This window comes from Homo sapiens, chromosome 6 (assembly GCF_000001405.40).
Source record: "Homo sapiens chromosome 6, GRCh38.p14 Primary Assembly".
Lineage (NCBI taxonomy): Eukaryota > Metazoa > Chordata > Mammalia > Primates > Hominidae > Homo > Homo sapiens.
The window spans coordinates 81840533-81853370 of NC_000006.12; the positions used below are offsets into that span (position 1 = coordinate 81840533).

The 12838-nt window shown below is 38.6% G+C and overlaps 1 long non-coding RNA gene across 3 annotated transcripts in view; it reads right to left on the reverse strand.

Moving 5' to 3' along the window:
* Positions 1–3248: 3248 nt before the first annotated feature.
* The window catches only part of LINC02542 (long intergenic non-protein coding RNA 2542), a 257985-nt gene continuing 248395 nt past the window's right edge, over positions 3249–12838 (reverse strand). For all 3 annotated transcript variants that reach the window (NR_149135.1, NR_149134.1, NR_149136.1), the window contains one exon: positions 3249–5377. This is a non-coding gene — a long non-coding RNA (long intergenic non-protein coding RNA 2542). The remainder of the gene's footprint in view (positions 5378–12838) is intronic.

A 12838-nucleotide genomic window follows, 5' to 3' on the forward strand; every position in this document is an offset into this window, starting at 1 on the left:
TTGCACATTCAGACAGCCCAAGACAGTAACTATTTAACAGAGTATCTGTGCTGGGCCTAAAATTTTCCTAAGACATGTTTTTATATATCTTATCATCAGTTGGGTTGAGGTATAGGCTATGAAGTATAGATGAGACATTCGTTTATCTTTCTAACTGAATTAAGTTCTTGAAAGTGCACAGAAAAGATGGATTCATTTAACACTCATGACTTGGATTTATTTTGCCTCAGTGCATTTGTCTACAAGATGAGACAGACAAATATCTGTTTAAAGGCACCTCCTAGTATTGAGCTGAAAGTAACATAAATAAGAAATGCATTTTAAAAGCTAAAAATTCAAGTGTAATTTTTATAGTGGATGATTTTTCTCTTTAAGCTACTGATTTTTTTAAAGTCTTATTTTCTTTGTGTTTTGTTTCTACCTTTGTAGCATAAGAATACTTTTTTTTTTTTTTTTTTTTTTGAGACGAAGTTTGCTCTTGTTGCCCAGGCTGGAGTGCAATGGTGCGGTCTTGGCTCACTGCAACCTCTGCCTCCTGGGTTCAAGCGATTCTTGTGCCTCAGCCTCCCAAGTAGCTGGGATTACAGGTGCCCGCCACCACACTTGGCTAATTTTTGTATTTTTAGTAGAGATGGGGTTTCACCGTGTTGGCCAGGTTCATCTCGAACTCCTGACCTTAGGTGGTCCTCCCACCTCAGCCTCCCAAAGTGCTGGGATTACAGGCGTGAGCCACTGCGCCCGGGCGAGAGTACTTAATACTTACAAATACAAAAGAAAGTTGTTCAAATCTAATATTAAAAACATAATTAGATATTAATCTGCCAATGTGCTTAACTCTACTAGATCAACAAGATTCTAAATAACAACCTGAAATAGAACATGTCATTAATGAACAAATTTTCAAAAAGTAAATTACACTTAAAAATTTCTTGAGAGTAGATCTCATGTTAAACATTTTACCGCAATAAACTAAAAGAAAAAATGTTTAAGTAAATAATTTATAATTTTATTGGGTTTTCCTATTTGAAAACGTCTTTGTGGACTTCAGGGAAAGGATGCTGTATAAGAAATTATTATTTTACCAATCCCATGTTGATTTTAGGCTCCACTGAAGAATATGATTAGAGTTTGGCCCACAAATTGTTGACAGAAAACTTGTATTCAAATTTTATTTGGTGACTTTCATTGAATGAAAATTTTATGAAGATGTTTGTCTTTTATATTATATTCCTTCCCATTCTGCCCTCATATATGTGCACTGGGGGATGATAGGGAGATGACGACAGGAGAGATTTATTAAAGGAGGACTATTTATTTTCTGGCCAATTTCTAATCTAAATCTAAATTCCCAAGAAAAAAAGACACGTCTTCCATGTAACTGCTACTTAGCAGACATCAATTTCTGCTGTCATTTCCAGAAAAGCACCATGATTTAGTGTGGGACTCTAATATCAGACTTTTGGGTTGGGATCTCTGCTCTGTCACGCTCTAGCTGTGGGACAGAGGGCAAATTATTTGACTGTTTTATCTCTATATTCTCATGTGTACAGTGAGAATAATATACAGTTGTTAAGATTCAATAAGTTAATACATATAAAATGCCCAGAACATAGTAAATGTTCAGTAAGTTTTACTTATTACATCCATTTTTTTTTAAATTAAAATGGGTTTTTTTTGTAAAAATTAATCTGCTCTGCTGTTAGAAAACAAGAGTTGCTTAAGGTGAAATGAAAGAAAGAAAGGTAAAGAAAGAAAATTCTATTAGTCTACTAGTTGCAGAAAAATCATATTTTATATCTTAGAATTGAAATGGAAGACCTCAAGAAGAGGAGACTCAGTCACACCAGGAGAAAAAATTGCCCATGAAACTTGAACTATTGCTAGCAGAGGTCACCATGTGAAAACAGGAGCCTGCAAAGCATTGTTGAACACACAGTCTTTTTGGAGACAGCCCAGGGACACAGGTCAAAACTATGCAACTTTCATTCTCTACTACTCAGTGAGCTCTTCTGAGGAATATAAGTGCTAAAAAAATCAGTCAAGAGGGGAATAAACTCTACCATGTTTATAAAAATGGCTATTTCAGTATTATGTATAATCTTGAAAAACTATGAAATGACCTAGCTCATAGGGAAATCTCTAGTTGATGAAATATTATTAAAATCATACATATTAAAATTAGCAACATGGAAAATAATGTTTAATACTAAGAAAAAAGGACTCGAAAGTGTATACAGCTTATTACTGCATCTTTATGGAAATACATTCATAAATATTTAATGCAATTATATGATAAAAGGCAATAAGCAAGCTGAGAAAAAATAGTTGGGTTTTCTGATAATTTCTTTGCACTGTTTTTGTGAGTATAATTTCTTTGTACTGTTCTACGTTGATACTGAATAAATACAAAATTAAAACATAAACACATATATGAAGCATAATGCTAAAATCAATCAAGTAACTCATGTTGTAACAAACCAATAGCTTAAATAACTGTTCAATTTCATGAATTAGTAGAGGATTTGTTTTACCTTTCTGCTTGTATTGATACTGTTACTAAAGCAGTGTTCATTTCACATGTGTAATAGGAAACCTATGTGTCATGACTTAGCAAGTTTGAAGTGAAAAAACATCGTATTGATTTTTTCTGTTTAAAAAGTATATGTAAGATAGTTCATCGTTCAATAGTTAATTATGATAAAAAATAGGTGGCACAGTAAAAAACCAACATTTACTGAAAACATATTATTTGATGTATAGGGTTTTTAGAAATATATGATTTCTCCTTTCAAATGCTACAAGAAAATTATGATTGATACCAGAGTAAACAAAAAATCAAATGCCATTGTGGTCAGGCACCATGTTTGCCTCTAGGAGTTCCATGAACCACAAATATAGACTGAAAAGAATGTGTGTCAAAGAAGTAGACCATGAGTTCCCTTGCTGCTGACTTCAGCTCAGAAACATGACCCCACAAAGCACACTGGAGCTGACCAAGTTGCACCCAAGGATTGGACCAGCCACCCACTGTGGAAACCAGTGAAAGACCACAGGAGAACAGGTGACTCCTCCTCCTCCCAGCATCAAGAGGATCACTAGGACAGACACCACGTTGGAAAGAAGTAAGAATTGAAAGGAAGAAGTCGCTATAATAAGGACTTAAATTTAGAATTCCCGGAATATTTACCTCAAAGAGAAATCTGAAATCAAAATAGACTGTTTAAATCAGAGGAGGCAAAGAAACCATTGAATGACATTATTTTTATTTTTCCTTGCTACCCAGAGGGGTAAGGTAGAGATGGGGAGAAGAGAGCTTGAGTTTAAGGAACATTATATAGAATGTAGAAAAAGAAGATAATCTTTGTTTATCTAAGCAGTATATGAATAGCTTTCTATATTTGGGGATCTCTGAAAGAAGAAATCACATCTTTTTCTTGTAGTTATCCCCCTTTAGAAATTATATAGTTATACAATAAATGGCACTGAATGAATAAATCACAAGACTTGAAGCGATGAGAGAGGTTTTCTAATTCATCATCCCAATTTCAGGTAGACTACCATAATTCAGCACAGAAACCTTTTTCTTGAGGACCTGGAGTATTTATCGTGAGTTTGTTCTTGGCCTGTGCAGTAAGCAGGCAGAACAGTCACTCTCCACCAGCCCTACCTTTCCTTTCCTGTCCTTTCTTCCTTTCATTACAATTTGCAGGCTGTTTTTCTTTACTTGCTGATTGTTAATAAATTTCTGCCCTTCCTCTCCCCACCCCTCATATCAGCTTACTTTTCCAACTAACAAAACACCAGTCTTGTTGAACCATCTATTACAAACACTGGAGCAGAATAGCAAAGGGATTTTTTAATCAAGGAAAAACTTGAGGTTAAATTATTACTATCTTGATTATGTGGGTTGTTCAAAAGAACTTTAATTTTTTTCTCCAATGAGAAATTCCTCCAGATAACCTATTGAGTATTTGAGTCCTCTGAGTCCTCCTGAGGCACTAGCACACTCAATTTTTTATATTGATTAAATTATAAAACACACCATACATGCAATTTGTTAGCTTGACTAAGTTTTGTTTTGCTTTTGTTCTTTTTGGTTTTGTTTGTTGTTTTCCTGTTTCCTTTTTTTAAAAAAAGGAAACCTCTAGTTCTATCTACTTTAGGGACATTTATTTGGAATGAAATAAAAGTGACTTGTAATTATAGTTTAATGCCTCAAAATAGAAAAATGTGCCAAATTGCTTAACCAAATACATATTTGGTTGGGATTTCAGAGTTACTCCTGAGTCAAGGCCCTGGAAAGTCTGAACCATTGCTTATCTTTAATTTATGGTTCTCTGCTAAGGGCAGCACAGAACTGATTGTTCATAAGGTTAAAATTTTGGCTTACGAAAGTTGTGCATCACAGAACAGGCATTAAGACAAACTTCTATTGCATTCTTTTTTTTAGTTGTGGCATCTCTTTCCCTCCGTTTAAGACTCCCTCATGGAGGTATATCCAATCCTGATTAACAGGGCTGTGGATAAAATGGTCTGAGATAAAGGCAAAGTGTTCGATGAGCTCTTCCTGAGATTCCTGAGCTATTTCATTTCCTTCTTTCTTATTTTGGCCTCATAAAATATTGTTTGTGGTGTCTCACCAGAAATGATCTTGTACACGTTAGCACTCTAACATGCACAATTTTAAAAATGCATTTATCTCCAAGTTTAGAGTAAGAGTAAGACAGAGAACTGTGCTTTTCTCAAGTGTTTGCCAACTTTCAAACTTTTGGCATTTTAAGCAGAGATCCTTACAAAATGGAGTTTTCCCTGACATGTCTGGATGTGTATGTATCTGAACTGACTGAATTTAGTCTTTCAGGGAGGCAGAAGATGACCAAGGTGACTATGGGGGCAGTGAGGGCCCTGTGGCTTCATTCCTAAAGTTCAGCACAGTGCTCCTCCATCAGTGCAGCTTGGTTGATGTACCAACCAGGATCCTGGCAAGAAACAGATGGCACACTCAAATTGGGTGCTTTGAAGAGAGATAGTAGGGGGACCATTTATTAAGGTGAAAGTAAGGTGAGGAAGCTACAAGTACTTTGAGGCTAGTGACAGTTGGATTTGGAGGAGGGATTGGTAGCACCCTAGGCCAGAAGGGGCAAGGGAAGGAAGTAGTTACCAGAACCTAGAGACAGATAACAAACATAGAAAGAGGCATGGGTGACAGCTGTTGGAAAGAGCCTGGCTTCCAGTGGGGATATAGTTGGACTAAAGAAGTTGGATACAGCCAGCCCAGAATGGACTTGTCCTTGAGCTCCACAACTGGAATCCCAGAATAAGGGAGGCAGTTGATGCAGGTCAGACTCATGGAGAAACAGCAGGGTGAATTCTGGATCTGAAAGTGAAAATAAAAGAAATACAAAAACCAATGAGATTGATTCCCAAACTCCAAGGTCATGGCTGCTGCTAATTCATAGGTACCTCTTTGTGAACTAGAAAAATAAAATGCCTTTTTGAGTGACGCAGACCTATTAGTGCACAGGGTTTTGTTCTACTGGACTCTGATCAATCTGAGCCAATTGAAGTAATTCTATTCCCCTTGCCAGAGTTATTGGTTTGATGATCAGTGCAGAACCTAGTCCAAACCAGTCAGCATCCTGACTATCCCCTGGTAAAAGCCAATGATTCAAGGGCAGGCATGTGTCTGGCAATAGCCTGATGGGAGTGAAGTTCAGAACATTTGATCTATGACTGTTCAAAAAATTCTTTCTTCCTTCCCCAAGTGAACAAGGGAGCTTATTTATGGTCCTGAGAGATTCTAGCATTTACCATAAGGGAAGCCAGACTAAGAATAGGCCCGGTGTCTAAAGGGCAACAAAATGAAGAAATTATCCACAGCTCTTATTTTTATTATTATACTTTTTGTATCCTGAGACTTTGCTGAAGTTGCTTATCAGCTTAAGGAGATTTTGGGCTAAGACGATGGGGTTTTCTAAATATCCAATCATGTCATCTGCAAACAGAGACAATTTGACTTCCTCTCTTCCTATTTGAATACCATTTATTTCTTTCTCTTGCCTGATTGCCCTGGCCAGATCTTCCAACACTATATTGAATAGGAGTGGTGAGAGAGGACATTCTTGTCTTGTGCCGATTTTCAAAGTGAATGCTTCCAGGTTTTGCCCATCCAGTATGATATTAGCTGTGGGTTTGTCGTAAATAGCTATTATTTTGAGATACATTCCATCAATACCTAGTTGATTGAGGTTTTTGGCATGAAGAGGTGTTGAATTTTATTGAAGGCCTCTTCTGCATCTATTGAGATAATCATGTGGTTTTTGTCGTTGGTTCTGTTTATGTGACAGATTACGTTTATTGATTTGCATATGTTGAACCAGCCTTGCATCCCAGGAATGAAGCCGACTTGATTGTGGTGGATAAGCTTTTTGATGTGCTGCTGGATTCGGCTTGCCAGTATTTCACTGAGGATTTTTGCATCGATGTTCATCAGGGATATTGGCCTGAAATTTTTTGTTGTGTCACTGCCAGGTTTTGCTATTAGGATGATGCTGGCCTCATAAAATGAGATAGGGAGAAGTCCCTCTTTTTCTATTGTTTGGAATAGTTTCAGAAGGAATGGCACCAGCTCCTCTTTGTACCTCCCACAGCTCTTACATCATGAATATCCAAGTTAAATTACGCCTGATCTCTATATTTTTCAAACACATTAGTCAATACATTTCCTTTAGTTTGTAAGTCAGCCACAGTTGAATTTTCTTTTGCTTGCAAACAGGGATTCATATTTCTTATTGACCTTTCCTTTGTGGACAACTTAAAGCTTTTTAGCTTCCTCATTATTTGAACCATACGGGACAAGGAAGATTTTTTTAAAATTGATTCTAACCAAACTACATTTTCAACTCAAACCAGATTGATTTCAATCATTCCTGTAAGTCTATCCTTACTGATGTACATGTAGAAGTGAAAGTACCTGCAAAATTATTGAACAGGTTTCAGGTCATGTTTTCTTTCTGACACCTTCTTTAGCATAATTGCAATGAAAGTATCTTTTATCATCTCTTCAAACAATTGTATTTGCATTTGTCAAAAAATGCTCCCTCTGAGTGGATATCTGCCCAAGACATCCTTTTCATACCCACAATTGAATTTTCTTTTGGTAATTTGAATATTTTACATTTAACTTCCTTGCTCACAAACGTGAAGGTATAACTTAACATTAGAGACATTTCTGTAAGAAGAAATCAAAAAATGCAAACTAAAGTTTAGCAACTCAGGAATTTGGTTAGGTTTAACTATCAGGAGCCAGACTCCAAAAGTAGACTAAAGTGTGGCCGTCCTAATCTCTGTAGTGATCAGAGCTTGTCTGAACTCTTTTTTGTATATTTGGTTTATTTCTAGCTGGTATGCAACATAAAACAGCCTTTAAATCAGCTTCCCCATAGGTTATCTTGACCTCTTGAAAATCTGCCTTTGCGCTACCCACAGGAAGTTGATGGTCACTCTCCTGATTGGGAAGGGAATGCTACATGATAAGGCCTCAATAGACTTTTGTATAGTTTCTTGCTTCAAAGAACTTTGTTCAGGCCCCTCAACAAGAAGGATAAAGTCCTCATTGTCTTGCTTGGTTTCCAATCTGGTTTCCTCCCTTTCTCTTCCACGCCCTGAACTTTAACTTAACCAGCATCTCCACTACACAATTCTGTTGTCTAGCTGTGTCTTTGCTCCATCTCTCCACCTGGAATGTCTTCTCAGACTCTCCTCCACAACCTTCTCAGGCTTACCTGGCCAACTCCTACTCATGCTTGGCTCAGTTGGCACCCTCTCCAGGAACGCTCCTCTTTTCACACTCTGGCAGCTTTGCTTCCTTTGAGCTCTCATGTTAGTTCTGTCCTTGCAGTTCTACTCTCAGCGTATCTCAATGTGTGGACTCACCCACTAGACTGAGCTCCATAAGCAGGAACAATGTCTTACTTCTATTTTTATGCCCACTGACCATGGAGAGGGAGTCCCATACTTAAAGAATTCCATGTACAAAAGAATATTTTTATCTCCTTATCCAGGTATGAACTCCCCAAAACATTAGATTTCATATCACAAAACATAGTTGAGTCAACTGAGAAAACAATTAGTTTGCACTCAAGTTAGACATTGAATTGAAATTCCTTTTGAGCTGTGAGTGGAGAAGATAAATTTAAATTCAAATAAAATTTTCAGTTAACAATACTGTAAGTGATATTTTGTTTTTCTAGATAGCATCATAAGTATTTTTCCAATAGCTTGCTAATCATATTCCAAATACTTTCAGCGACTGATGTGATGGTACCTTCAAAAAGCAGCAACAAAAACAACTATTGCAAAGCATTCTTTGAAAATCTGTCATCTATACTGTGTAATAAGTATAGAGTTTTACAATATAAAAACAATTCTGGAGATAGATGGCAGTGACGCTTGTACAACATTATGAATGTATATAATCCCACTGAACTTAAAAGTGATTAACATGGTAAATTTTATGATATATGTAGTTGCCACAAAAAAACTGGGGGAAAATCTGTCAAACAAAAATTCCTGGTGAAAAATATTAATTCTAAATTTCTGATGGGCTTTCTTCCACCTGCTTGGCTCTCATTTCCAACAGCCAGATATTTCAAGGGAAGTTCTAAAGTAGAATTAAAAGGTAGTCTGGTTCTTCTTAGGACCTTTCTAGTTGAGGTCTTCTAGGAAACTCTATCTTGCTATTTGAAATCATGAAATGATTTCAGAATCTGCCTTACTTGTCCAAGGGTCGTGAACCAGCAAGGAGGGAGACTTCGTATCACCACAGATGGTAAGGGATTGGGGAGCAGCCTGGCATGGAACAAGTGTCCACTGAGCGGCCAGGAAAGCCTGTGACCATGGTGAGGGGAGGAGGCAGTGCAGCTGACAGCCACAGTTGATCAGCTAGTCCAGAGAGATATGGCCAGGCAGGCTACTGATCTTGTAAGCAGGGGTGGGCTCCCTTCCAGGACCATGAAGGGGACCTTTAACTGACCATAGAGGGCAGGTAGCTCTGTAAGTACGTTAAGAGCTCAGTGTCTGACTGAAAGTAGTGTAATAGTATTCATAGCTGTGACAGGGAACATTTTAGGAGTAAAGAAAGTCAACTCTTTTTATTTTATTTATTTATTTTTTTTTTTTGAGATGGAGTCTCACTCTGTCACCCAGGCTGGAGTGCAATGGCACCAATCTCAGCTCACTGCAAACTCCTCCTCCCGGGTTCATGCCATTCTCCTGCCTCAGCCTCCCGAGTAGCTGGGACTACAGGCGCCCGCCACCACGCCGGGCTAATTTTTTGTATTTTTAGTAGAGACGGGGTTTCATCGTGTTAGCCAGGATGGTCTCGATCTCCTGACCTCGTGATCCACCCGCCTCGGCCTCCCAAAGTGCTGGGATTACAGGCGTGAGCCACTGCGCCTGGCCATCAACTCTATTTTTATAAATAACTGGACACTAGGGCAAAGAGAGGCAGCCCAAAAAGCCCCATAACCAGCTGGCAGAGACCAGCTTGAGAGTCAAGAGGAGAACACTGAAGGTTGGACTAGGGATGCAAAAGAATACAGGCACTAGGAACTAGGACCGCCTGTACTCACCACCAGTCACAGGATTTAGGGCAGAGATATTGAAAAGTAACCACCATCACATTATTCTCTGCCCACATTCTTACCATATGGGTACTCAGGATCACTAAGGAAAGCATGCATATAATTAGCCTAGAAAGCCACTTGGATCCTTTCAGTTAATTATCCTTTTATTTCAAAAATCTCATATTACAAGTATTAGAAACTTCAGTGTTATCTCTGCCATATCTCAGGTTTCCCTATATGTGTGTTATAATTCTAGATCCTCTATTATATTTCATATTGTTGTATTTATCTATCTGTCACCACCATTATTTTATGGCTGCAGCTCTAGAATAAGTCTTTTCTCTGGTAGGACAAGTGCTCCCCACCTCGTTCTCCCACATCAACTTCCCGGATCATCTGAAATGCCTTTCTCTATGTACTTGAATTCTTACAAATCTTGATATCACTGCTAGTTCTCTGCCTTCAAAGCAGCTTCAGGCATGATCAACAGCAGCCATGGAAGCTGCCTAAAAATGAACAGGAAGGGGCTGGGCGCGGTGGCTCACAGCTGTAATCCAAGCACTTTGAGAGGCTGAGGAGGGTGGATCATGAGGTCAGGAGATGGAGACCATCCTGGCCAACACGGTGAAACCCTGTCTCTACTAAAAATACAAAAATTAGCCGGGCGTGGTGGCGGGCGCCTGTAGTCCCAGCTGTGGAGGAGGCTGGGGCAGGAAAATCGCTTGAACCCGGGAGGCGGAGGTTGCAGTGAACCGAGATTGCACCACTGCACTCCAGCCTGGTGACAGAGCGAGACTCCGTTAAAAAAAAAAAAAAAATGAACAGGAAGGAACGTGCACCTTCCAGAAAAACAAGAAGAGATGAAGAGTGAGAGAGAGAAATGAGAAATGAAAGGAGAATTGGTATGGTTTGGATCTGTGTCCCCACCCAAATCTCATGTCAAATTGTAATCCTCCATATTGTATTTGGGGCCTGGTGAGAGTGAGTGGATCATGGGGATGGAATCGTCATGAATGGTTTAGCACTGTCTTCTTGGTGCTGTTCTTGTAATAGGGAGTGAGTTACCATGAGATCTGGTTGTTTAAAAGGATGTAGCACCTCCCCCATTTCTTTCTTCCTCCTGCTCCCACCATAAAAGACACCTGCTCCAGCTTTGCCTTCTGCCATAAGTAAGAGCTCCCTGAGGCCTCCCCAGAAGCAGATGCTGCCATGCATCCTGTACAGCCTGTGGAATCATGGGCCAATTAAACCTCTTTTCTTTATAAATTACCCAATCTCTGGTATTTCTTTATAGCAATACAAGAGTGGACTAATGCAAAAAAAACTATACAAAAAACGTGCTGTTAATAAAGATTTAAATCCAGTCAGAGCAGACAAATGAGAAGTAATTGAAAAAAATAAAAAGGTATAAGATGATATATAAATTGGGTTGTGGTTCCCCAAAAAGATACGTCAAAGTCCTAATTCCCAGTATCTCGCTCAGAAGGGTCTAATTTGGAAATAGAGTCTTTGCAGATATAATCAGCTATCATACTATAGTAGGGTGGGTCTTTCACCCAATATAACTGGTGTCCTTATAGGGAGAGGAGAAGACAGACACCTGAGGGAGAAGGCCATGTGGTGATGGAGGCAGAGATTGAAGTGCTGCAGCTTCAAGTCAAGGAGTGCCAAGGATTGCTGTGAACCACCAAAAGCAAGAAAGACACAAAGGAGGATTCTATCCTACAGATTAGAGAGGAGAGTATGGACCTGCTGACACCTTGATTTTGAATTTTTAGACTCCAGAATTGTGAGATAATAAATTTCCATTGTTTTAAGCCACCCACTTTGTGGTACTTTGTTATGCAGGCCTAGGAAACGAATACAGAAAAAAAAGGCATACCATATCTCATCAAATCTGATACACCATTGATTACAAGATGCCCTGTTATATTATGCACCTTGAAGAGATTTTAAAAAGCTGTCAATTTGCTGAGAGCGGTGGCTCACACCTGTAATCCTAGCACTTTGGGTGGCTGAGGCGGGTGGATCATGAGGTCAGGAGTTGGAGACCAGCCTGGCCAATATGGTGAAACCCCGTCTCTACCAAAAATACAAAAATTGGCCAGGCATGGTGGTGCATGCCTGTAGTTCCAGCTACTTGGGGGGCTGCAGCAGAAGAATCACTTGAACCCAGGAGGCGGAGGTTGCAGGGAGCCAAGATCGTGCCACTGCACACCAAGCTGGTCAACAGAGCGAGACTCTGTCTCAAAAAAAAAAAAAAAAAAAAAGAACGCCAATTCAATGATGGCACATCGTCAGTTGTAAGATGCAAACTAATTTAAAGATGTTAAAAAAAACAGTATCTTAGAATCTATAAAATATGGTACCTCGATTCTATCAGCTCAGTTAAATAATAATGTTTGGGTGAGTGTTAACTTGTGCATCATCTAAGATGCCAGGTACCTTGAAAGTACTTCCCACTTAGTGTCTAAACAGACATCAACCCAAACTGGACATTGTCGATAAGTAAGGTATGTAAAATGATACCAAACAGGTGTAATTCGTTTTAAGGTAAACATGGGTTGTATCATGTGGTGTTAATCTTTACTTCTGGGGAATATCAAGCCTGGGAAAAAAAATAAAAATTGAATGAGCTGTTTCTTCCTTCTTCCTTTTAAGTTACTTCTGTGTTGCTTGTTACCATAATCACGGCTTTCGTTTTGTATCCTCTTAGAATCCCTAACTGTCTAGGCTAGTGGTTCTCGACCTGACTGAACATCAGAATTAGTTTGAAAACATTTTTTGAGAATTTATTCCTAAAATTCAGAAGCTTGGTAACACACTCTGTTGAAAAAATTATGGAAAAAGATTTTCTCATACATTGCTAGTAGTAATACAAAAAAAATCTGACAATACTCATGGAGAAAAATTTGATAATATCTAACAAAATGCCTTTCCACCCAGAAATCCCACTTTTAGGAATTTGCTTCCAATGGGTTACAGTGCTATAAATACAAAAAGAAAACAATTCTAGGTAAAAAGGTTACTCACTGTGGCAATGAATTTTTTAAAATTCATTTTTTAAAAAATGGAAATTATCCATGTCTATCTACAGGAGGCTAATTTAACAAGTTCTACCATAGCCACACAATGGAGTACCCTTTTGCACTAGAGCTATACAAAAAAAAAATGAAGACTTCTGAGAGTGAATATGGAGAGAAAAAAAGCAA